Source organism: Homo sapiens, chromosome 16, assembly GCF_000001405.40.
Source record: "Homo sapiens chromosome 16, GRCh38.p14 Primary Assembly".
In the NCBI taxonomy this organism is placed as follows: Eukaryota; Metazoa; Chordata; class Mammalia; order Primates; family Hominidae; genus Homo; species Homo sapiens.
The window spans coordinates 29,236,808-29,263,021 of NC_000016.10; the positions used below are offsets into that span (position 1 = coordinate 29,236,808).

General features: G+C 51.5%; 1 long non-coding RNA gene across 1 annotated transcript, besides 1 other annotated feature; it reads right to left on the reverse strand.

Moving 5' to 3' along the window:
• Positions 11,967–12,467: an enhancer, noted in NCBI's record as "H3K4me1 hESC enhancer chr16:29260095-29260595 (GRCh37/hg19 assembly coordinates)". NCBI's record gives its function as "activates a minimal SCP1, AML or CMV promoter by ChIP-STARR-seq in naive H9 embryonic stem cells {active_cell/tissue: H9 hESC(naive)}" and the evidence as "EXISTENCE:reporter gene assay evidence [ECO:0000049][PMID:30033119]".
• Positions 19,237–21,972, reverse strand: LOC124903676 (uncharacterized). Its single transcript, XR_007065049.1, has 2 exons — positions 21,865–21,972; positions 19,237–20,664 (listed from the first exon to the last, which is right to left on the reverse strand). It is a non-coding gene; the product is annotated as an uncharacterized LOC124903676 (long non-coding RNA).
• Positions 21,973–26,214: the final 4,242 nt, after the last annotated feature.

Genomic DNA, 26,214 nt, shown 5'->3' on the forward strand with positions numbered 1-26,214 from the left:
AAGCAGAGGCCCTTTCATAACCGCAGCTCAATTTCGGAAATGGGAAAACCTCCATGATCGCAATCCTGTTACCAGATCCACGGACCTTGTTCAAAGGCTGCCGATTACCACAATCGTGTTCTTTATGACAAAAAACAAACAAACAAACAAAACCCTACACTTGTTTCTGGTCCAGCCCAGCAGCCAGAGTGGTGCTGGTTTGTCACGACTCGACTCTGGTTCCCTGGAACCCTGCGTCTTTCTTTCTTTTTAAACCTCGATGGCTTTGGAGGGAACAGACCAGTTTGTATGTTGCCCCTCTGCCTGGGTCTGGCGGGCGCTTCCTGGTGAGAGATCCCACTTGGTATCTCTGTGGGAACGGAAGGGAGGTGAGGCCGCGGGAACGGAAGGGAGGAGAGGCCGCGGGAACGGCGGGGAGGCGAGGCCGCGGGAACGGCGGGGAGGCGAGGCCGCGGGAACGGCGGGGAGGTGAGGCCGCGGGAACGGCGGGGAGGTGAGGCTGCGCCTCCTCGTTCCCTGGCTGAGAGGGTAACTCTGACCACCTGGGTGCAGTGGAGCCGCCAGCTGTCCCCCCTGTAAAGGGACTGGCGGCTCTGGGTGCCTGTGGCTGCTCCAACAACGAACCACAAACCGGGAGCTTAAAACTTATTCTCTCCATTCTGAGGCCAGAAATTCAAAATCAGCCTCCCCTAGACATAACCAAGGTGTCGACGGGGCCGCCCTGCACCTGGGAGAGTCTCCCCGGCCCTTCCAGCTTCTGGGGCTGCTGGCTTCCTCGGCTTGTGGCCGCATCGCTCCCGTCTCCACCTTAATGGTTACAGTACCTCCTCTCCTGTCTGAAATCTCCCTCTGGCCCTCTTATAAGGATGCACCTGATAGCAGCTGGGGCGCCCTGGATAAGCCACATCACCTCCACATCTCGATCCCATCTGCAAAGTCCCCTTTCCATATGAAGACGCGGTGACAGGCTCGAGGGTGTCGGGGGTGGATGTGTCTTTGGCGGCCATGATTTAGCCTGCCAGACTTAATAAGTATTTTGTGAGCTGCCTTGGGAATATATAAATGTCCTGTACTTTGTTAAATTTCATGATGACTGAAGAGATTTCCTTTCTCCCCATTTATCTGTGTATTCATTTATATTAGTGTGGACTCGTGGCTTTTTAAAGATTTAATGGGTTATAATCCATTGCCATCATTATGTGTTTGATGCCCACATTGTCCCGGGTTTGGTCAGTGGGAGCCCCTTCAAGCCAATTCCTGTGTCCCCATCATCCTTTAAGTACCTATTTCCTTTGCAGCAGGAAGAGATATCCCAAGCTCATCTGCGCTTTCCCTGTCACGTGCTGCAATTTGGCGCTTTCCCTGTCACGTGCCACAATCTGGAACTTTTCCCATGAAGCCTTCTGTTCATGGCAAAAGGTATCCAGAAACCAAGACGTGGGTGCTAGTGTGCTCATTACTACTGGAGTGCCTCGGTGTCCAGGGTGTTTCAGTGGCTTCAGTGAGGGAGTGTAAGGGGAGGAAAGGAGGGAGGGAGGGAGAGAAAGGGAGGGAGGAGAGGTGGGAGGGAGGGAGAGAGAGAGAGGGAAGAAGGAAGGAGGGAAGGAAGGAGGGAAGGAGAGAGGGAGGGAGAGAAAGGGAGGCAGGGAGGGAGGGAGGAGAAGTGGGAGGGAGAGAGAAGAAGGAAGAAGAGATGGAGGGAGGGAGGGAAGAAGGGAGGAGGGAAGGAAGCACGTACAGATAAGACAAGACAGGACAAGAAAAGACACACACATATATCTGCATCTATAATCTCTCCATAGTAAATGCACACACACACACACACACACACACACACACACACACACTCTCTAACATACATGAGCCACGAGCTCCCACGATGCCTCCAGTTCCAACCTGGAATACCTGCGACTCCTTCCCCAGCAGGGCCAGGTCTGCCCTCTACCATTCTCAGGGTATTTGCTTATTTGCTCAGTCCTAGAATAAACAGAAAATAGTTTCAGCATTGCTAACCCACCCCACTGTGGAAAACACATCTGTTCACCCCACATATTCTTTGCCTGAAATACAGCGAGCTTCTTTTGTTTCTATCTGCAATCCATTTAGAGTCACCTGCCCCCTCTTTTTTTCCTTTCAAGTATGTAAACTTAACCTGGTTCCACAAAACAAAACCCTACACACACACATCTATTCGGAGAAATGTCGCTTCCTAGTCCATCTCCCCAACACTGTCCCTCACCTCCTGTGACATACACCGTCTCATCAGTCTCTGGGTTGTTCTTCCGGTGTTTCTTTTCTTTTCTTTTTTTTTTTTGAGATGGAGTCTTGCTCTGTTGCCCAGGCTGGAGTGCAGTGGCGCGACCTTGACTCACTGCAAGCTCAGCCTCCCGGGTTCATGCCATTCTCCTGTCTCAGCCTCCCGAGTAGCTGGGACTACAGGTACCCGCCACCACACCCAGCTAATTTTTGTGTATTTTTAGTAGAGACGGGGTTTCACTGTGTTAGCCAGGATGGTCTCCATCTCCTGACCTCGTGATCCTCCCACCTCGGCCTCCCAAAGTGCTGGGATTACAGGTGTGAGCCACCGCACCAGGCCCCTGTCTTTCTTTTTACAAAAAATAAGCATTGTTTTATTTCCCCTTTCTTTTACCCAGAAGATGGCATGTTAGAGATAGTCTTTTACGTTTTTTTTCACTTAATAACATATCGTGGAAATGACTCCATATGAGTTCATAGAGGACTTCCTTATTCTTTTTTACAGCTGCATAGTACTCCACTGTTTGGGCGTACCACAGTTCATTCAACCTCTCTCCTGTCTGTGGGCATTCCAATTGTTTCTAATATTTTGCAATTACATGCAATGTTGCAATGAATAAACCTGTGCATCTGTTTTTTTTAATGCATCTTCATACTATTGTAAGAGTATCTTCAGAGTAAATTCTAGTCATGAGATTACTGATGCAAAAGTAAACTCTTCCTCCAAGATGGTTTTACCAATTTGTATTCCCACCAGCAAAGTAAGGAAAGGCCCACTTCTCCAGAGCCTTCTCATGGGAACATGTTCTCAGTGACGCTGCTACATTGTTGCAATCTGAGAGGTGAAAAATGAGACTGCAATGTAGCTCTGATTGACATTTCTGTTTTGAGTGATATTGAGCCATTTGTTCATGTGTTTAAGGCCCATTTATAAACATTTTTGGTAAATTATCTCTTCATGTCTTTTGTTCATTTTCCTATTGGGTCTTTGGTCATTTCTTCCCTCAGTTTTTAATAATGCTTTCTGTATTAGAACTATTTCCCCTATATTTGATGTATGTTATAAATATTTCTCCTAATTTGTCATTTGTCCTTTGGATTTCTTTGCGGTGTTTTTTAACCATGGAAAAGTTGTTCTGTTTTTATATCGTCAAATGCATCCATCTTCTCTAGTGTTGCATTTGGATGTTGAAAAGTGGTTCTGTTTTTATACCATCAAATGTACCCATCTTCTCTTGTGTTGCATTTGGATGCTGAAGTTTAAAAAGCTTTTCTGACATTTCCTTCTAGTATTTGTATGGTTTAATTTTTTACATATAGATCTCTAATCCATTTGGAGTTTATTTTTTATGTATAGTATGAGATATGAATCTAATTCCATCTTTTACTAAACGGCTAACCAGTTGTCCCAGCACCGTTTGTTAAAAAGATCATCTTTGTCCTAGAGACGTGAACGTCACTTTGACCATCTACAAATTATTCAGAGGTCCTCAGGTCTATTTCTGGGTGTTCTTTTCCACCGTTCTGTTTTGTTGTGTGTCGGTCCCACACTTTTTTCTCTCAAGAAGCTTTTTAGTGTGTTTTAATGCCTGGTAAAGCTGGACCTCCTCCTCCACCCCCCCACCAGCCCCCACTGTGCTAACGTGTTTATTTTTCATATAGGTTTTCATATCAACTTAGCATCATTGTAAAAAGCTCATTGGTATTGGGCGGGGTTGCCTTAGCAGTAGGAATTAACTTCAGGAGAACCGATGCCTTCGGCCATTGAGTGGCCTTGGCCAGGAACAGGAGATGCCTTCTCATTTGTCAGTCTACTTGTATGTGTCTCTCAGGAGTATTTTAATGTTTTCCGTAAATAGTTTTTCCCCACATTCTTGATACATTTATCCCTAAATGTTTTTATCTTATTTGGTGCTTTTGTAATGGAGGTTTTCGACCATTAGATCTTCCACCTGGTTATTGTTGATGTACACGGAGGGTATTGATTCTCATGTGTTTGTGATCTATTCTGCTGCCTCTATCAGGTTTGGAGATGCAGAATCACTAGAAGACAGAGGTTAGAAGCCTTAGTACAGGGAGGTGATCGTCTACAATGCAGGCATTAGTTAAATGCCTGGAAGGCCAGTGTCTTCACATCCCATGCTGGGTCACAGACTCTTCAGGGTAGGTGGTTGTCAGGAGGGAAAGTCGATACAAACTGGGGGTCACATTGTAGGTTTCTTTGAATGTCTAGTGATCTTTTATTGTATTCCAAACGTTGTTACTGACACATGGTATAGACCCTGGGTCCTGTAACAAAGACTGGGTTCTGTCATGTTTCTCTGATGTGTACTGATTTCTTGGTGTCTGTTTTAATGGGCAATTCACTTAGCTGAGCAGATACGTGCATACTTCAGGTGTTAGACAAGGATTTGGGCAGAGTTTATATGCAGAACTGTGGGCTCTGTCTGTTTTTATCTTTTTCTGGATTTTTCCTCCAACTGTCCAGCTGCTGTGATCTCCACAAATTCTGTCCTTTGCTTGTTCGAGCCGGTATGCTTGTGAGTTTCCTATTAGAATGGTTGCCACCTGTGTGGTGCCAGCTGGGCCCTGCCCTGATGCAAGGGGCATGAACATGGGAAGTTCACCCACCACCATTCCCTTCACCCATGTGCAGCACCCTCCATTTCATGCTTTTCCATGCTCTCCAATTCCTCCAGATGTTTTAAAAACAATTTGTCCAGTGATTATGTTGGTTATTTGTGGAACAGCTGGTCTTGTAGGGATGACTTCTCCATTCCTGCAAATGGAATTCAGTTGCCTTGCTTTGTTTATTCCTTGATGCTAGGCTAAAATTTATATATATTTTGTCCTTTTAAAGTTGCCTGATATTTTTGTCTGGAGGACCCAAGCATTTTTTTTTTCTTCATCTTTGAGGATTTCTTGCTTTATATGTAATGTCTAATAGTCTCACTGAGCTATGCCTCGGAATCACTTGTTCCAAATGGATTGCCCCAGGTACCTGGTGGATCCTTGCATAGACTGATTCAGGTCTTCTATCTCTGAGAGTTCTCTTGCATTACATTTTTCTTTTCCATGACTTCAGTTATACACAGTGTCTCTTCTCCTGTCTTCTGTTTCAACCACTTTATCTTTGACACTCTTTCTTTTTTACATCATCTCATTTTCATTGCCATGGTTGATTTTCTGCTCTTCTTCAGTGGTATCCCTGAATTTTCATTCAAATCTGTTCTCCTTTGGGTACCTTTTAATTTAGTCTTCATCATTGGTGTGATTTTTGTCATATTCTTCTCTTTCTTTCCTTCTTTCTTCCCTTATTTATTTATTGACATTTATTTATTTTAGACAAGGTCTCACTCTGTCACCCAGGCTGGAGTGAGGTGGTGCCATCTTGACTCACTGCAACCTCTACCTCCTGGGCTCAAGCAATCCTCCCACCTTAGCCTCCCAAGTAGCTAGGACTAAAGGCACACACCACAACACCCAGCTAATTTTTGTAATTTTTTTTGTAGAGACAGGGTTTTGCCATGTTGCCCAGGCTGGTTTTGAACTCCTGGGCTCAAGCAATCCACCTGCATTGGCCTCACAAAGTGCTGGAATTACAGGTGTGAGCCACTGCTCCCTGCCTCTTGTTTCAGTTCCATCAACTTGTACCTTGTTTCTTCCCATTTTTTGGTCCATCTATATCCTTAGTTTTAAATTTTACATCACAAGGTGATTTTTATATACTCAAATGCTTAAGAATATTTAATTTATGTTATGCTACTGTTTTCTTCTGCTTTGTGTTGATACTGGGGGTGGTAATTTTTAGTCACTTGAAATGTTTTGATTCCGTATTCTGTTTGCTTTTTTTTTTTCTTTGAGATAGAGTCTCGCTCTGTTGCCCAGGCTGGAGTGCAGTGGCACCATCTTGGCTCACCGCAAGCTCTGCCTCCCGGGTTCACGCCATTCTCCTGCCTCAGCCTCCCGAGTAGCTGGGACTACAGGCGCCCGCCACCACACCCAGCTAATGTTTTTGTATTTTTAGTAGACACAGGGTTTCACTGTGTTAGCCAGGATGTTCTCGATCTCCTGACCTCGTAATCCGCTCGCCTCGGCCTCCCAAAGTGCTGGGATTACAGGCGTGAGCCACCGCTCCCGGCCTCTGTTTGCTTTTAATAGTAGTTTTTTTATAGAAGAAGACTTCTTACATATTTGCACTTAATGAACAGGGTTGGCAAGTTGGAGTTGTTTACAAGATTTCAAGAGCATTGTCTTTTGTTAGCATAGCAAAAAGTCTTTGGGGTGAGCACGGAGAAGGACGTGTGTGCTCATCCACATGTTTGTGTCTTCAGAGAGTCTAAATTTCTCTCCTCATCCTTCTCATCACGATGCCATTTCCAAAGGGTGCCTCCTCGTCCTCCCCCAAAAGGGTTGCCTTTCTGAGATCAGCTCCTCACTCTCGTGTGTCCTTCTAAGAGCTTTTCCGGGAGTCAGGGCTCTTTTCCCAGTATTTCCACACTTACTGTGGCCTTGCTCTTTCTGGGGGTTCTTTTAGCTCAGTCTCCTCTTCTGTTTTCTGGGTGGCTTTTCCACCCCTTCCCTTTGCTCCCAGCTTTCCACAGAGGCTTACGATGAGAGCTCAAGAAATACTTCTGTTTGAAACTGGTGTTTGTTTTCCTATTTGCAGATCATTTAACATTTATATTATTCTCTGTCATGCAGACATGCTGAAAGCGTGGAATTTGTGTGATTTTGTTCTTGCTGATCTGTGTGATTTTTAGAGGATGTTTGGAAAGATTCAGATTTGGGTGGTTACTCTTGTCTTGGCTGCAGAAGTCACAACCCCTGTCCTCTCTCCGCTTAACAGGGAACTGTGCGTGTCTTGACCTGAGTGACCCCAGGGAAGCATGGAGGCACATGAATTAATACAAGGGAAAGCTACTCTATTCCATAAAGAGGATAGGATACCCCTGGAAGGATTCACTGATAGCCTCTTGATGAGAGCACGCCCAGGGGTTTTCCAGTGATGACCCCATCTGCAGTTTGCTCACAGCAAGGATTTCCTATAAAGAAGATGTTCTCCATGTGAGGGCTGGTTAGCTTTCTGCTTAGATTTTCCAGAAGCTAGAGTTTCCATATGAGGGGAGTCAGGGTGACTCTGGGCATTTGAAGAGGGGTGTTAATGTCCCCACTCTGATTGTAGATTTGTCTACCTCTCCTTTTAGTTCTTTTGACTTTTTTTTTTTAGAAGGTATGGCTTTATTTTAGTTCTTTATTATTATACTTTAAATTCTGGGGTACAGTGCAGAACATGCAGTTTTGTTATGTAGGTATACACGTGCCATGGTGGTTTGCTGCACCCATCAACCCATCATCTACATTAGGTATTTCTCCTAATGTTATCCCTCCCCTAACCCTCACCCCCCGACAGGCCTCGGTGTGTGATGTTCCCCTCCCTGTGTCCATGCATTCTCATTGTTCACCTCCCACCTATGAGTGAGAACATGCTGTGTTTGGTTTTCTGTTCTTGTGTTAGTTTGCTGAGAATGATGGTTTCCAGCTTCATCCACGTCCCTGCAAAGGACATGAACTCATCCTTTTTTATGGCTTCATAATATTGCATGGTGTGTATGTGCCACATTTTCTCTTGATTTTTTATTGAATAAATACAGACTTAGGATTCAAGTATTTTTCTGGTGGATTGACCACTTTATCTGCAGAAAATGTCCCTCTTTGTCTCTGATGATGCTCCTTGCTTTATAGCTTTAACTAATATTAGACTAGTTCTTTTGGTTACTGTTTGAATAATCTTTAATTCCATATTTTTATCTTTCAAATTTTCTGTCCTATAATTCTGTCAGGCATGTCTATTGTAATCAGCATACGGACAGATTTTTTTTTTAACCTAGTCTCCAATAATTGTAGTCATTAAATTGGAGTAGTCTATTTGCATTTAATGTAATTACTGAAATACTTGCATTTATATCTACCATGCTTTCTTTCTATTTGAGCCATCTCTTTTATATCTTCCTTCTTTCATATCTTGCCTTTTAATTTTTTTTTTTTTTTTTTTTGAGACTCTTTTCACCTAGGCTGGAGTGCAGTGGCATGACCTGGGCTTGTTGCAACCTCCGCCTCCAGGGTTCAAGCGATTCTCCTGCCTCAGCCTCCCAAGTAGCTGGGATTACAGGCACCCACCACCACGCCCAGCTAATTTTTGTATTTTTAGTAGAGACAGTGTTTCACCATGCTGGCCAGTCTGGTCTCAAACTCCTGACCTCAGGTGATCTGCCCACCTCGGCCTCCCAAAGTCCTGGGATTATAGGCGTGAGCCACTACACCTGGCCAGCCTTTTTTTTTAAATCAATAAAAAAATATTATTCCATTATTTCCCTTTATTAACTTTTGCTAGTCTTTTAGTAGTTACCTTAGCGATTAAAACAGGTACTTGAAATGTTGCCTCTGCTACTCCTGGATAATGCCAGAATCTTAACCGCTATGACTTTTGTGTTTTTGTGGTCTTGCATTATTAATTCTATGTATACTTTAAACCCCACAATCCATTCCTATCATTACTTTGTACAGCTAATATTCAGTAAATATTCCTTCATATTTGTCCACAGATTTACTTTCTATTTGCTTCCTATTCCATTCTGCAATTTCATGTTTTCCTCTGGGGTCATTTTCCTTTTGCCCTAAGAACTCTCTTCCATATTTTTTTTTGGTACAGATTTTCAGACAACAAAGTCTCTCAGTTTTTACTTGTCTGAACATGTCTTTATTTCACCTTCATTTTTAAGATGATTTTCACTAGGCATGTAATTCTAGGTTGGCAGATACCATCTTTCAGCACTTTAAAGATATTATTTCAAGCCAGGTGCAGTGGCTCATGCCTGTAATCTCAGCACTTTGGGAGGCCGAAGCGGGTGGATCACGAGGTCAGGAGATCGAGAACATCCTGGCTAACACGATGAAACCCCGTCTCTACTAAAAATACAAAAATTAGCCGGGCGCGGTGGCGGGTGCCTGTAGTCCCAGCTACTTGGGAGGCTGAGGCAGGAGAATCGCATGAACCCGGGAGGCAGAGCTTTCAGTGAGCCGAGATCACGCCACTGCACTCCAGTCTGGGCAACAGAGTGAGACTCCGTCTCAAAAAAAAAAAAAAGATATTATTCCATTGCCTCTGCACTTCCTTAATTTCTGTTGAGAAGTTGGCTGTCAGTCTTATTGTTGATTCTTGGAAGACACAGAGTCTCTGACTGCATCTAAGATTTTATCTCTGGTTTTGGAAGTCTTCATATGATGTACCTAGGTGTGCCTTTGTCTTTATCATGCTTCTGATTGAAAGGGTTTTGGAAGCTATCTTTTCAAATATTGCTGCCTTTTTCATTCCTTACCTCTTCTCCAGAGATACTGATTACTGGTTGTTAACCTTTTAACTATGTCCCATTTGTCTCTAACATATTTTTCTATATTTTTTATTATTTTTTTCCTGTTGCTTCAGTTTGCTTATGTTCTATTAAACTGTTTTCCAGTTTACCAAGTCTGTCTTCTTCTTTGTCTAATCTGTGTTCTTCCTTTTAGTTTTTTTTTCTTCATAGAATTCTAAAATTCCCTCTGGTGAATTTCTTCATCTGTTCCTCTATTTTCCTGAGCTATGGTTCTTGAAACAAGGTTATTTGAAAGTTGTTGCTTGCAAAATCTGTTATCTGGATCATCTCTGTAGCTGCTTCTAAGATCTGTATTTTCTCTTGGTTTTTGGTCGTGTGGTCCTGCCTTTGGTCATGACATGTGATTTTTGATCGAATACTAAACACGGTGAATAAAATGCATCGTGGAGGCTCCAGCTGATGCTATTTTCCCACACAGAGGGTTTACCCTTCCTTGTGCTAGGATGAGACAGTAGTAACTCCTCTCCTTAATCCAGCCAGGTACTCTGCTGAGTCAAGTGGGGCTGCAGCCTGGCAAACTCTATCTCCTTTGAGCTTTCTGATCCTTTAGAGTTTTCTGTGGAAAGCATGATGTGTTCCTTGGGGCCCCAGTCTTTCATGGGTCCTGAAGTCTAAACATTGCCTTGTGACTCTGCTGAAATTTCAACCTACTTCCCTGGGGCCTTCCATGTATCCCATTTCCACATGACCCCAGTTTTCATCATGTGACTTGTGGGGAAACCTGGCCAGGTCCTTCAGGCACCCCAAGTCTCCACCAAGAGCTCAGCTCTTTCCTCTGTCCCCAGAAGTGGCCCTCCGTGGGTACAGCTCAAGATTCTCAGCCTCCTGCCTGTGCCCACAACTGGCAGATGCCCCTAGAGAGAAGGCACCTGAGACGTTGCTCCCCTTCCTGGTTCTCCCCTAGAGAGAAAGCATCTGTAGACGTTTGCTCACCTTCCTGGTTCTCCCCTCTCCAGAGTCCTCCAATACTTGACATGACCTCAGCAGCCTCATGATGCCTTCCAAAGACAATTTTGTGTCCAGTAGAGTTTTTCTAGCTGTTCTCAGTGAGCCATGGCCCCATGGTGGCCTCATTCCCACCCAGAACCTGCTACTGGGGTCCTGAAGCAGAGGGCACTGCAGGCTCCCTCGTGTGAGCGCATCCTTCAGCGAGATTGGAAAATGCCCAGTGTGCAGCCGGTGTCACGCCCACCCTGCTATAAAACCTGGAGAATTGTTTGTAAATGGAGGAAGTCATGGAGGCCTCAGATCTGCTGAGATGATTTGGGGATGATTTGCCGGGATTCCCACCGTATGAGAGCAGTGCCAGAGCTTTCTTGCCTGGATGAAGTGTGCTGCAAGCAGATGGCAGCCAGGTTACAGAATGCCACAGTGTGACCCATGACAGGAAGGGGGTGAACCGGGTGCTCTCATCCAACACTTACTGAGCCCCTGGAGCAAACTGATTCTCGTGATTTATCTCATTTAATCCTCATGACACTGTGAACTAATCACAGTTATGGTCCCATTTCACAGCTGAGGAAGATGAGGGAGAGGTCGCACTGTCCAGGTCATGTCACTTTAAGTAGCAGAGCCCAAACAGGAACCTGAGTCTGTGGCTCCAGGGCCTGAGCTCTGAGCCACCGTATAGCACAGACCTTGGTGCAGCCATGGGGCCCCTACACCCTTGAACATTCCCCCACAAGGGGATCCTTCCTGGCCTGGCTCCCAAATTAACTCTGGGCGTTTTTCCAACACATTGTTCAGTTTGGCTCCCACTTGCCACTTGCTCTCCGGGTCTCAAAATGCTGCCATCCACCTGCCCTGCACAGGGAGCCTCACTCATCCACTCACTGCCACCAGTAAGCACCACCCTACACCCAGCACTGGTCCCTGAATGGCCAGAGGGAAGACCACCCAGAACACTGGTGAAGGCATTAATCAGGGACCCAGTTCAAGCCAGGCCCTTCTGCTGCTCCCGCTCGGTGTCACTGTGAGGCACTGGGAGTGCCCAGGACACAGTGACCCAGGCCTGGACCTGCTGGCACGTCCTGGATAGAGCAGGACTCACACCAGAGAGATGAGGGCTTCGGGTAAGGACAGACCCGGGCTGGCTGGGCCGCAGAATGTCATCTCCTGCTAGCCGTGGCTTCCTCATCACCAGATCTATAAAAACAACTTCCCACGGCCGTGAGGGCTCGAGTGAGATAGCACAGAGGAAATGCTTCCCCACTTGTAAAACTCTCTCTGTGGGCCACTATCGTGCCTGGCTGCCACACTTCCTCTCCGCTCCAACTAAGGCCTCGCTGTTCACATGCAGGCAGCTCCCCGAGGAGGTTGTGGGGCCAGGATACAGGGCCTTGTAGACGAGCAAGAATGCATGGTCTCAGGGGGATGGGAAGCCTTCTGAGCGCTTCCTCCAGACAGTGCCGGAGAAGGGGCCTGGCTGCTCCTTGCCCCGGCTGCGGGCCAGCGTCCAGTCTGCTATGTCTCTAGCATGTGCCCCTCTGAGATCAGTGAGAGCCCCAGTCATGCATCCCCAGGGGTCCTGTAACAGAGGACCACACACCGGGGGGCTTCAAACAACAGAAATGCATCCTTGCACACTTCCAGAGGCCAGGAGTCCTAAGGCATCGGCAGGGCTGACTCCTTCTGGGGTCTCCGAGGGAGAATTCCACTCCATCCGCTCCCAGCTGCTGCTGGCCCCGGCTCTTCTCTGCTTATGGACACTTCAGTCCACTCTGCCTCTGCTGTCCCATGGATTTTCTCTTCTAAGAACACTTGTCATTGAATTCACAGCCCTCCCTACTTCAGAACAATCTCATCGCAACATCCTTAACTGAATCACACCTACAAAGACCCTTTTTCCAGATGAGGCCACTCTCACAGTCTCTGGGCCGTGGGCTTATTTTTTGGGGCTGCCATTCAACCCCCCTCATCACACTCTCACACTTTCTGAGCTGAGATCCACAGTAAGGAATACACTGTTTCATCTTCGCCCTAGGCACATACTCTCATCCGCAGCTGAAATGCAGTTTCAGAATGTGAATCCTTATTTCACGTTCTGTGTGGTGATGTTTTCTGTTTTCTCTCTTGCCTCCTCCTCAGCATTGGCTACACACCCACTAATTGATTCCCAGAGCTCACAGCCTGGATCAAAGTTGTTTCTTTGTTTTGTTTGTTTGTTTGTTTGTTTGTTTAGAGACAGAGTCTTGCTCAGTTGCCCAGGCTGGAATGCAGTGGTGCAATCACAGCTCACTGCAGCCTCAACCTCCTGGGCTCAAGTGATCCTCTTGCCTCGGCCTCCCGAGTAGCTGGGACTACAAGTGCATGCCATCATACTTGGCTAATATTTTCAAAATTTTCCTAAGGCTGGGCGCGGTGGCTCACGCCTGTAATCCCAGCACTTTGGGAGGCCGAGGCAGGTGGATCACCTGAGGTCGGGAGTTTGAGTCCAGCCTGACCAACATGGAGAAACCCCATCTCTACTAAAAATACAAAATTAGCTGGGCATGGTGGCACATGCCTGTAATCCCAGCTACTAGGGAGGCTGAGGCAGGAGAATCACTTGAACCTGGGAGGCAGAGGTTGTGGTGAGCCGAGATCGTGCCATTGCACCCCAGCCTGGGCAACAAGAGCGAAACTCCATCTCGAAAAAAAAAAAAAAAACATTCTAGAGACATGCTCTTGCTATATTGCCCAAGCAGCTCTTGAACTCCTGGCCTCAAACGATCCTTCCACCTTGGCCTCCCAAAGTGCTGGGATTATAGACATGGGCCACCACAATCATCCCAAAGTATTATTTTTGCAAAGCGTCAGCCTCTCCCTACAGCACCCAGCACCTGGGTTCCATGCTAGAGGAAGTCATCCTGATTTGTAAAAGAGGGTTGAAACCAGTTGCCTAAAACCTGCCACACAAGGGTAAAACCCTTAAGCATGATGATGTCCCAGCAGTGGTATTTGTGAGAGGGAAGAACTGGAAACAACCCAGGTGTCCCCTAATAGGGGAGTGATATGGTTTGGCTGTGTCCCCACCCAAATCTCACCTTGAATTATAGTGTCCATAATTCCCATGGGTTGTGGGAGGGACCCAGTGGGAGAAAACTGAACCATGGGGGCAGTTTCCTCTATTCTGTTCTCGTGGCAGTGAATAAGTCTCATGCGATCTGCGGGTTTTATAAGGGGAAACCCCTTTCTCTTGGTTCTCATTCTCTCTTGGCTGCCACCATGTAAGACATGCCTTTTGCCTTCCCTCCCCAGACACATGGAACTGTGAGTCCATTAAACCTCTTTTTCTTTATAAATGACCCAGTCTTGGGTATCTCTTAATCAGCAGCATGAAGAAGAACTAATACAGAGAGGCTGAGTAAACACCATGTGGGGTGTTTGCATCACTGAGTATCACACAGCCTTTTCACTCATGGTTAGAGACGGAGCAGAAAGGTGGACAGACACCCCAGCACAAAGCCGAGTGAAGAACTCTGAGGAAGGATGCGTGCTTGGGAATGATGCCTCGACCCTGGTGCCTGAAGCCGTGCCTGGTGCGTGGGGCGTCCCTGTTTGCTGAAGGAATGTGGGGACAGAGCACAGGAGCAAAGACTGGCTGGGACCGTGTGAAAGCAGCTCTCTGCTGCCTCTCATCCAGCCCGCTGTGTCCTTCCACAGCACTCATCTCAATTTGTGGTTATTTGACTTTTCTCCTGTCCCTCTGGGCCGTCCGCCCCCTTCGTTAGAATGTAAACTGTGTGGAGTGCAGGCCTCGCCTGTGTTACTGTGCCCTCATCTCAAGCTCAGCACCGCGTCCTGCCCTGGGGGCCCCCATGAACATGTGCCGAATGAACGAGCGGAGGAATGGGGGTTGGGGCATTTTTATTAGTTTTCCATTCGCCCAATCATTTCTAATGTGGATCATTTTCTTTCAAATGATAAGAGCGATGTTTACTTTTCTATGTTTGAAAATAAGATAAAATAAAACAAAAGACGCCTGTTGTTTTCTCGGGCAGGGATCTGAAGGGAGCCGAGCTCCTTCTGCAGAAGGGCGCTGAGAAGGGAGCTGGAAGGAAAAGAAGGAAACATTCCTTCCTCAACTGGAGGAAGACACGCGGCCACACACAGAACCAGCGGCCCCAGGACCGTCACCCTGCGTGCCCGGGCCTGTCCCTCCTGACCCCAGGATTATAGTGGCGAGGCAGGGTGTTAGCCAAGCGGATTGAGCCAGGACACAACACCGCGGAGCCCTGCAGGCGGTGAGTGATTTCTTCCTGGTTTTTAATGTCACTGTTGGCGCGGATGAGGTGTGAATCTGGGTCTTGCGTCTGTAACGTGCGCCGGAGGAAAGGGCCTTCTTTCTGTTTCATGGTCCCCAGCAAATACTTGGGCAGTACAGGAATGTGGGCGGGGTTGGGGGCTGGCCTGGGTGTGGCCTGCAGCGTGGCACTTAGTGGTAAACCCGTCAGCTTCTCTGATGAGGAGACTGAGGTGCAGAGAGGCAGAGCAGCCTGGCAAGCAGCAAGAGGGCGTCTGGGCTGCACCTCAATCCAGGCTCGCAGGGTCGGAGCCCAGCAAGGCCGCGAGCTCTGCCCGTGTGTGTCTCTGTGTGTGTGTCCATGTGTGTCTCTGTGTAAGTACGTACATATGTAAGTGTGCACGTGTGTGTCTGTGTGTAAGCATGTACACGTGTCTCTGTGTGTGCACACACATGTGCCCTGGGCCCACAGCCTTTTTACTGCTTATCTGTGAAGCGCCCAGTGGGTCCCCAGCGGCTCAGGGTGTTGAGGGGCTCAGGATCTGCTGTGCTCTGGGGAGTGGAGGTGCCCCAGCCTCACTGCTGGGCTCACGTGGCTCAGCCCCATGGTGGGATGGTGGGGCCCCAACGCTAATCCTAACCCTAACCTCCGCCTCTGACCATGCAGGATGTGAGCGTGGGCTGCTCCGCTCCCCACTCTACATCCTCCTCACTGGCCCCTCTGCCCCTTCCCCTCAGTGCCTACGGGCGCCTGGCGCAGGGATCACCCGACCCTCTCAGCAGTTTGGACTCCGCCGAACCTCCGTTCCCCACTGGCTTCCTCAGGCCACCTGCCCTCAGCCAGCCATAAATGACTGGCTATCTTTGAGTTTCCTCAAATATTCTAAAAATCACACTTGTGGCACCCACTGGGAGTTGGGTTCTGATTTCCCGATGTGGCTGAATTCTGGCTGAATCCCTGCATTGACTCGATTCAGAGTCCCTGAGGTTTAAACTTGAGACACAGTCTCCACTGCTTATCCCAAAATCTTGTATAGTGCGAGGCATTTTGAAGGAGGCTTTAGATCAAAGCCCCCCTTTCTAATCGCCAGAAGGGAATTCGGTGGGCAGGGATTGGGGAGACCCTTCAAAGGGAAGGTGAGGGGCAGGGAGGGTGGAGGGCTTTGCCTTTTTCGGGGAGAAGATGAATGCAAAGGGGGTGAAGGAGGAGCCGCCCATGCCCTCTGCTGCAGCCTGTGTCTGTGGCCCCCAAATGTGTGTGTTGAAACCCCACCCCCAAGGCCATGGTGTTGGGAGCTGGAGGACATGAGGATGTGGCCTCGTGGATGGGATTGGTGTCCTTACAAAGAGGCCCTGGAGAGATCCCTGCCCTTCCCATCACATGAGGACACACAGGAAACACTGCCTATGAACCAGGAAGGGGCCTCCCCAGACACGGACCTGCCAGCATCTTCATCCTGGGCTTCTAGCTCCAGAGCTGCCAGCAGGAAATGTCAGCTGTTTGCAAATTGCTTAGTCTCGGGTGTTTTGTTATAGCAGCATGTATGTACTAAGACAGCCTCCCTGACAAGTCCTGAGGTCTCTGGCAGCTGGACCTTCCTGGCTGTCTCGGGACACCCTGGCTCCCTGCACATGGCAGAAGGGCTTTCTCTGCAGCCCCAGGATGGTGGCCCCCCACCTCCCCAGGCTGCAGAGTGCCTGTCACAGTGGCCCCGCTGGTGTCTGGGGACCTTGGTCCATGGTCACTCATGAAACCGAGCCAGAGATTTTTCGCAGGCATCTGTGCTGGGGATGGAGGGTGCTAAACGTCTTCCACCTTGTTAAAGTCCTGAATCTTTTTGGACAGTTGTTTTGGGTTAAATTGTGTCCCCCCAAAAGGCATGTTAAGGCTTCACCCCCAGCACGCAGGATGTGAGCTTGTGAAAATGGGCCTCTGCAGATGTGAGGAGGGTGAGGTGAGGTCGTTAGGGTGGGTCCTTAGGAGGCTGGGAGAAGAGAGGCGTAGGGGAGAGGCCACGTGCAGCGGGAGGCAGAGGCTGGCATTGTGCAGCTGCCCACTGAGGACCCCCAGGATCGTCAGGGCCTCCTACAGCTGGGGTGGGAAGGGAGCAGACCCTTCCCAGCGCCTCCAGAAGGAGCTGGCCCTGCCCTCACCTTGATGTTGGGCTGTGACCTCCGGAGCTGGGAGAGAGGAGTTCCTGAAGCTTTGCAGCACCCTAGTCTGTGGCCCTTCCTTATGGCTGCTCAAGAGACCAGTGCGGCCCTCCTTCTGGAAAGCAAGTGTCACCCTCCAGACACCGATGGTGCTGGGTGATGCTCCAGATGCTCGCCCAGACCTCGAATGTCCCCTGGCAGACAAGGCTCAGGAGGGCCAGAAACAGGCCCTGCCCGCCCCCCAACCCCCACCTCCAGCTCCATTTCCTCCTCCCTTCCTGCCTTTAGTGGTTTCACCGTCTTATTTGCAACCTGCGTACTTCACCTCTGAGTTAAGAAGTGTGGGTTCCAAAGCAAAGGGCGTGTGGGAAATCACGCACCACAGTCTGCACGTTTAAATTCTAGCCCCCTGTGTTCCACCCGGGAAGGATTCCCAAGATATGCCCTGCACGTTTCCACCCGTGCCTCCTCCACGCCAGGGCCTGCGCGTTTCCACCCGTGCCTCCTCCACGCCGGGGCCTGCGCGTTTCCACCCGTGCCTCCTCCACGCCGGGGCCTCCATACTTTGCAGCCACTGCAGGGATCCCTGCGGCCAGAGCTTGCTGCCTCTGTGTCTGAAAGCCCCTTGCCCGTCGTGGGGATACATAAGGGCGGGCACCTGACTAGTCTTGTTCCCACTGTCTCCCCAGGGCCGGGAACAATTCTAACACAGGAAGAGAGAGGAAGCGGGGAAGGGGGAGGAAGGAGGATGGAAGGAGGCCGGGAGGACCCGTCAACCGCCACTCAGCCGTGCCTGGCCTCAGGCTGCCCCCACCCCTTCTCTCTGTCTCCTGGCTCCTAGCCTGGGAGGCCGACACCGGCCTCCAGTCCCTCCCTCAGCTTCTCCCTGTCTCCCCGTCTCCCTGTCTCCCTGTCTCCCCATCTCCCCATCTCCCCATCTCCCCGTCTCCCCTTCTCCCTGTCTCCCGGCCCCCGGCCTGGCCCCCGCCCCTTCTCCCTCCCTCGAGTCTCCCCACTGCCCCGTCTCCCTGTGTCCCCATCTCCCCTTCTCCCTCCCAAGGGTGCCTGCCTTGATGTGTATTTTCCATATTTTCGTCTCTGTGGTGACGTCCCCAACAATGATGGAGATGTTGTTTCCCGTCACCGCTGTAACAAATGCCACACACCGGAGGCTTAAAACAACAGAAACGTATCCCCCACAGCCCTGAAAGCAGAGGGCTGGCATCAAGGAGCCTGCCCGGGGGTGCCAGCCATCCTCGGCGTTCCCCGGTACGCCGGTGCACCCCGCCAGGCTCTGCCTCCGTCCTTAGGGGACCTTGGCTCACAGGTGCACCCCGCCAGGCTCCGCCTCCATCGTTACAGGGCGTTCTTCCTTCCATGTCTTCATGTGGCTCCTCCTTTTCTTATGGGGACACCCACCGTTGCATTTAGGGCCCCTGATCCAGTATGACCTCGTCTAAGCTGAACTGATCACGCCTGCAAAGACCCTCTTTCCAAATAAACCCACCTTCTGAGGTCGCAGGAAGACGTGGCTTTGGAGGACACTGTTTGGCTCACTGGGAGGGTGTGGGCTGTGGAGCAGGGGGACCCTGCCTCGCTCCTTGGTGCTGCCTGCCAGCTTCACAGGCTCCGAGCAACGGGATGAGGGCCCCACTGCGCAGGTCGCCCTGTGGGTCCCGTGAGACAGCACACACGGCGCCTGGCATGGGCGCTGGGTCTGGGCCCTGGGGTGTGTGTTCTGGGGCCTTGCCTTACAATGGCACCTGCCCCGCAGGACTACTGCGGGATTCCTGAGATAAGCCCGATAGCAGCCCTGTCAGAGCAGAGGAGAGGGCACGGCAATGGTGGTTTACTCTCTACTCTCAGACAAGCTGATTAAAGCAGAGACGCACCCCTAGGGAGGAGAATATTTTCTGTAACTGATTTTGAAAGCTCATCCTGAGTGTCCAAACCTGGCAACTTCTGTTTTTTTGCAAAATATTCTCATTATGAGAAATTTGGAAAACACATAAAAGTAGATAAAGGACCAAAAAGACACCAAAGCCAGCTCTTACTCATCTTCTGGAGAGTTTCCTTCCGGCCTTGCTTTGCTCCCCCTGTGAATTGTTTCAATAGTTGGGATTGACCTGGAAAACAATTTTCATACAACTCCTGGGAGGCTTGCCTGTGTCAGATGTCATAAATGGGTTTTATTTTTAATGCAAGACACACCAGTTTGGCCATGGGCTCCCAGTGTCTGGGTGGACGGGGTCTGGTGAGGCAATTCGGGGGCTCAGCAGCAGCATCAGGCAGAAGCCAGGCAGGGAGGGAGGCACAGCAGCCGGGCGCCCATGTCTGCCGTCCTCACCGTCCTTGTCAAGGTAAGAGCTGAGCCATCTGCAGTCCACAGTCAACAAACAGCATTTAACCCATCACCTCCCTGGGACTGCAGACTTTTCCAAAACTTCAAACATGAGAATTTATTTTGCACTTCACTAAAAATGAATCAACTTAAAGGAGAATAAAAAAGTCAAACCAAGATAAAGAGATAAAATCGATGTAAATATTTTCACCAATTTTCCAATATTTTTCTCGAGAAAAAAAACAACCGGAGAGACTCTAGTGAAGGTCTCGACAAGACATGGCGTTTGTGCTGGCTCCAGCCTCCTCCGCGAGCAGCCTGTCAGGCGGCAGGAACCTGCCACTCCTGGGAGCAAAAAGCTGCTCTCGGGAACCCTCCTGCTTCTCGGGCACACCAGCCCTGGGAGGACTTAGCGATGATCTGGAGGAAAAAGAGGCTGCACGAGGTTGGAGGCAGCTTGTTTTCCGTTCCCGCCAAGACCCTCTGTGGTCATTCCGTGCGGTTCTTGTGCTAGTCCTGTCTGAATGATGAGTGTGTGTGCGTGTGTGCTGTCACAAGTGTGGATGTCATGCGTGTGTGCTGATGTCACATGTGTGGATGGCACACGTGTGCTGATGTCACGCGTGTGGATGTCACACGTGTGTGCTGATGTCATGTGCGTGGATGTCACGTGTGTGCTGGTGTCACGCATGTGGGTGTCACGCGTGTGGATGTCACGCGTGTGTGCTGATTTCACGCGTGTGGATGTCACACGTGTGGATGTCATGCAGGACCGCAGCTCCCTCCTCACCAACAAACTGCTTCCCACAACAATGGTGCCTCTGTGCACACCTCCTCCTCCACTCTGCCCCGCTGTGGTCCAGGAGCCCAGGGAGGGTGAACAGCAGGGACACCCCAGCAGGTGCAGCAGGGCCGGTGGCTCTCCCGGGGGCACGCTCTGTTCTGGAGGACTCTGTGCCACTCTGGTTGGGTCTGGGATCCAGGGCAGCAGCCTACTTTCTCAGGGCCCTTTCTCTCCGGTCCTCATCCACTCTCCATCGGGAAGGCTTAGACTGTTTCCAAAGTCCGGTGTCCCTTTCCCTCCGGTCCTCATCCGCTCTCCATCAGGAAGGCTCAGACTGTTTCCAAGGTCCAGGTGTCTTTGGCTTTCATTGACGATGGAATGAAGATTTTGGGTTCTAGTCCCGCTCGTGGTTTTCCCAGAAATTCCAAGGAAGAGAACACAGCAGAACCACCCTTCCACCTTCAGCTGGAGCCTGGAAACAGCCAGAAAGGGCTGATCCAAGGCTGCCATCTGCTGTCTGCTTCAGGATTGCTGAGGCGGCCTCTGGCCTCTGGGCCTGGGCCCCCAGAGGCAGGCCTTGGGAGCAAGATTTGGGGGTGACCCCAGGCAGCCCTGGGGAGTGGGCAAGTCAGGCAGGGAAGGAGCTGTTAAGGGCTGATGAGCAGGGGTCACTGTGGGTAACTGGGCTCTGAGCCTCTGGGGACTCCCCTAGAGGAGCGGAACATGGAACGCACCAAGGAGTGGGCAAGTTGGGTGGGAAAGGAGCTGATGAGGGCTGATGAGCAGGTGTCGCTGTGGGTAACTGGGCTCTGAGCCTCCGGGGACGCCCCCAGAGGAGTGGAACATGGAACGTACCAAGGAGTGGGCATCTGTCCCGCAGTCCCCACACGCTGCTGAAGCAGCTGCTCCCATGGCCTCCCTCCCTGGCCCCGTGGCCTCTCCTGTGGACAGGGAGCAAGCTGCCTGGCAGAGGCCCCGACTCTCACAGCGGGAGCTGTCAGCATGCTGGGGACGGTGAGTGCCAGGTGCCATGGGCCAGAGCCTTTGGTGTAGGCTCTGGCGAAGGGACCCAGGACACATGCCTGGAACTCTAAAAGTCCTGGGAATCTGACATTTCACACGGGAGAAAACCTCAGACCAGCCGCACGTGCCCTCCCCTCCCCCAACACACACAAGCCCTTCCCGGGCTGGAGAGATGGTGGCTCCTGGTGGTCATGCCAGTTGGTTCATGCTCATCAGAACCCATGGATGGAATTGCCTGGGGGACTTCCAGGGTAGCAGGGGAAGGCAACACTGTTGCCCAAACAGGAGGAACAGGACCACATTGGTCAGAGCCCAGCAGGAGGGAGACAGCACCTGGAGGAGGGCTTCACAGTGCTGAAAAGGTTTGGGCGGGGCTCAGGGAACCTGTGTGAAGGGACCGAGGACCCTGTGAAAGAGAAGCCCCATCGCCCTAAGCCTGAAGGCTGGGGTGGGACTGGGGTGGTGTCCTTTCTTGGAATCCAAAGAGGACAGGTGTGTCAGTGCCATGGGGCTGCGACGAGATGACCACAGGCTCACAGCTCTGTCAGCTCTGGAGGTCAGAAGTCTGGCACACACCTCGCTGGGCTAAAATCAGGGTGTGTGAGGGCCGGTTCCTCCTGGGACCTCCAGGGGAGGGTCCTTTTCTTACCTTTGTGGCCTCTGAGGCCGTTGCACTCCTCGGCTCATGGCCCTTCCTCCACCTTCCAGGCCAGCAGCGCAGCCTCTTTCCATTTCTCTCTGACTCTGTGTTCCTTCTCACACCTGCTCCTGCGGTGACTCTCCCTGCCTCCCTCTTCAAGGACCCTGGGATGACACTGAGCCACCAGGACAACCCAGGGCCACTCCCATCTCAAGAGCCTTCACTTACTCACCTGCTCAGTCACGTCTGCATGTAAATATCACCAGGGAACATATTCCCAGGATCTGGGATTAGGATGTGGGCATCTTTGGGGGCTATTATTGAGCCAATAACAGTAAAGTCTGAAGGTGCCGTGATGGGCTTTTTGGGGTGCAGCCAAGCCGCAGGAGCCAGAGAATGAACACCCGGCCCCAATCTCCCTGCTGCCACCCTCTGCATGGACCTAGGCATGGTGGACCCTCCGGGCAGCCTCCTGGACCTGGAGCCTGGAGGGAAGGCAGGGCGGGCGCGAGGAGGGTGTCTGGCCCTCAGACCTCGACCACGCAAAGGCTGGGCACTGCCAACGTTGACGGCAAGGTCCCTGCTGAGGCTGCAACAGTTCCCAGGTTCAAGAAAACTAGAGCATGAAATCACGCTGAGTCCTGCCACTTCTTTCCCAGCCTCAATCTGAGGGCAGGATGAACGGATTGCCCTGCACAGCCATCGGGCTGTTTCAGTGATTACCTGGATGTTTAGAACACAGATTTTAAGAACCTCCCCCACCCAATACGGCTGGTCAATGAGAGAGACACCACTTTGGGAGGTGGCGTCAACAGCTCCCCTCCCACCACCACCACGCCTCCCAATTCCCTGGGACAGCTGGACCAGGCCTGGGACTTTCGGGGGTGTCCAGGCACTGGCCACTGCAATCTCTGGAAAAAGCAGAGAAACCCCAACATCTTTCCTCCATCCTGATTAGGCCTGGCCTTTGCGGAAATCATTCCTGTCCCAGTTAACGCTGTCCTTGTTTTGAGAAGAGGTGCCCTGGGTGCAGTGATGCATGGGTAGCAGGCTGTCCGGGAGCTCTCTGCCTGACAGAGGGTTAGCCTGCGGCAAGAGGGTAGCTGCAGAGTGAACAGGCCACGGCGGCTTCTGCTGGCCCTGAGAACGCCCTGCCTGGGGCTGGGTCGGGTCTGTTTGGCAGCATTGCCCAGATTGCAACTCATGTGTCCTTGAACAAAGTCAATGTGTTTTTCCTCTCCAGAGCCCAGCAACTATCTGACATTCGGAGCTGCTCTTCAGGGTTCTGGGCACGTCGCATATTGCGCCCCAGCCTTCTCAGCAGCCAGGAGCTGGGAGGTGGAGGGGCCTGTGGTCTGGCCGCCACCTAGCAGGCCTGCATGGCCACCTCCAGCCGGGTGCAGGCTGGCTGGGGTGGGGCTGCCCTTGACCTTGGGCTCTCCCTCCTCCGCCAGATCCTCAGGCGCTGGCTCAGCCTCCCACGGCCTGGGGGAGCCTCTGTCTGCTCCTTCCAGCCGTTCAAGGACGAGGCTTCCGAAAGACTCACTGTTCCTGTGTGGGGAACTGAGGCTGTGTGAAGGCTGGATGAACCGCTGCTGTGGCCTGGTGAGAAAGAGGCTGTGGGCACCCACAGTGCCAGAGAGCCGTCCCCGCCGGGTTCTTTGTGTGTGTAGCCTCGTTTCTGCTTCTGTTTTCATTGTGGGGCTTGGGAGGAAATCGCCAACCTTCAGCACTGGGGCAGCCCCACCATGGCCAGTGGTTTGTCAATCCCTTTTGTCCCTGCCTGTGTCCAAAGTCTGGGGGCCGCCTGGGAACCTGAACATCATTGCCGTCTTCCTGGCCTGGGCCGTGGGCTCACTTTGTTATTCCTCTTGGAAATTTGGCCAGGCCACCTTGGATGGGCCCCAGGCAGCAGGGGGCTACTGGATGCCGTGTTCTGGAGGTTTCTGCGGGAGGGAAGGCGCCCAAATGTATAGCAGCTGGCCTTGACTGGGTTCGGTTTTGGTGAGGGAGTTTGATTAGGCTTAGGGCCGCCTGGGCATGAAACAGGATCCCAAAACCTCAGCCCCATGACTCTCCCACTCTCCCACCAGGGGAAGGCAGATGTTTTGGGGCCGTGATGGGCTGGCCTGGCGGTGCCGAGGTGCCTGGAGGCAGGACTGTTTCAGGACCCCGATGGGGACGTAGAGGATGCGGGAAGCCCATGAGTGCCTCCTGTGCGCGAGCGCTTTGGTGAGCGCCGTGCAGCCGCCTTCTTGGTTGCTGGTGGACGTTCAGCCCTAATACCCTGCTCTCTCGCCCGCAGCCCCATCTGAAGCCCCTGAAATTTGAACCTTGGTTTAGGGATTTGGCCTGTTTGTCAGTGGGTTTTCCACATGTGGTTTCCACAGGAACTTTTGCTGTTTAAGTGCTTTTTTAAACGATGAAGTTATCTTTTTCCTATTGGGATGAGCTCACTGGCTTTTGTGTGGGCTGCAGGCGCTGGGTGATTGGAAGGGCCATGGACTTCTGAACCCAGAGGAGAAGCCCTGTGTACAAAAGCCGCTGGGTCTCAGCAGTCCCCGAGGAGGTGGTTGTGAACGTAGCACCAACTTCTTTGATCTTCTGAGATCGCTGCGTTTTTCTAGTAAAGCCCCCATGGAAAGCTTAGCATGCAGGCAGGTGGGTCGTGGCCTCCCTCTTGAGTGAGCTGAAGGATTTAAGAACTGTCAGCTTCCTATATTATAGATGGGATGGGGTTTAACGTCTGCAGCAGCCAGACTTCGTAAGGGCCAAGAAACTTGTGTGACCTTGTGTGATCTTGAGGGGCAGGGAGAAGACCTTTAGCTCAGAACGGCGCAAAGAATTAACGCTGAGGATGAAGCCAGGGAGGGGAACCAGAGCCGGAGCCGGGCTAAGCCAGTTCCCACCTCCCATCTTGCAGCGCGGACCAGGGCTGACCGTGGCACAGCCTGTGGATCATCCACCAGGAGTGCCTGAGGGGACCAGCTTGGACGCAGCCCGTGGGGAGCTGGGCGCGCTCTTCTGGAGCTGGACGGCCTCCAGGGTCCCCTCAGAGTGTCTCCGATGGGGAGGCTGGACACAGCGTCCCTGCACCAAGGGGGCAGTGCTCTCGTCACAGAGCAGAGGGCCGCACCGCCCGTGTTTGTCTTTCCCATTGCAGCTTCTCAGGCCCTAGGCCAGGCCTCGTTCCCATCAGATAAAGCCTGGGGCGGCCGGACGCAGTGCAAGCAATCGTGCCTGACTCACAGGAAGGGAGGAAAACAGGAATTCACGCAGAAGCTGTAATGTTCCCCCTTGGCCCTGGGAAGGGTGTGAAGGGATGTGCGGGGGGGCGGCTCTGCCCTTCCTCGCCCCCTTCCAGGTGCCTAGACTTGGGAAGGAGAGGGATGCCGCCAAGCTCGGGTCCTGCAGGGCCCCGGCCTTCTGGTGTGGGATCTGACTTGGGAAGGCCCGGCGCTGGGGCTGCTGCTGAAATTCTTGAGACTGGTTGACAAGGGATCCCGTGGTTTCATTTTGCACCGGGCCCCTCCAGGGATGGAGAGGGTCCTGACTGGCAGTGTCGAAGCCCCGGGGTCTCTCCTTGGTCCCTGGCTCCCCTCACAGCCCTCCCTGCCCATGGAGCTCCGGGCTTCCACACACATTTCTCTCCTTTTTAACGGCTCATTTCTTTGGGTTCAGCAGTACCTGGGTCCCCAGTGCCCTCCTTCTGAGGCTCTCTCCTTTGAGTGGCCACCCTCCCCCCACACACTTGGAGCCCGGAACCGGGAGTGCCGTGGACACCAGCCCTCCCTGGCCCAGACCCTCTGCCTCTCCTGGGCCTCCCAAGAGTAAAACCTCTCCACGCCAGACCAGGCTGCAAACCTGGATTTGAAACCAGCGCTGTCGCACTCCTTGAACTGTATCAGGGGTTTTCAGTAGCGGGACCGGAACCAGAACCCAAAAGAGGCTCCTTCCTTGTCTTGAATTCCTCCCACCTGAGTTAGCATCTTGGAGGTCAACGTTTCAAGGAATTCAGTATCTGAGAAGAGAAAGACACCAAACCGTAGTTCCCCATGAGGACTTGTTGCTGGAAAAAACATCTAACTCCATACAATGTTTGAAGAGAGTTATTCTGAGCCAAATGTGAGAAGCATGACCGGTGACACAGCTCCAGGGGGTCCTGAGGACATGTGCCGCAGGGGGTTGGGCCACAGCCCGAGCTCATACACTACGGGGACAGGAGGTTCAGGCAGAGTCAGTCAATACTTGACAGATGTACGTTGGCTCTGCCCAGAAAGGCGGGACGACTTCAAGGTGAGGAGGGGCTTCCTGGTCACAGGTGGGTTCAAAGACTTTCTGATTAGCAATTGGTTGAGA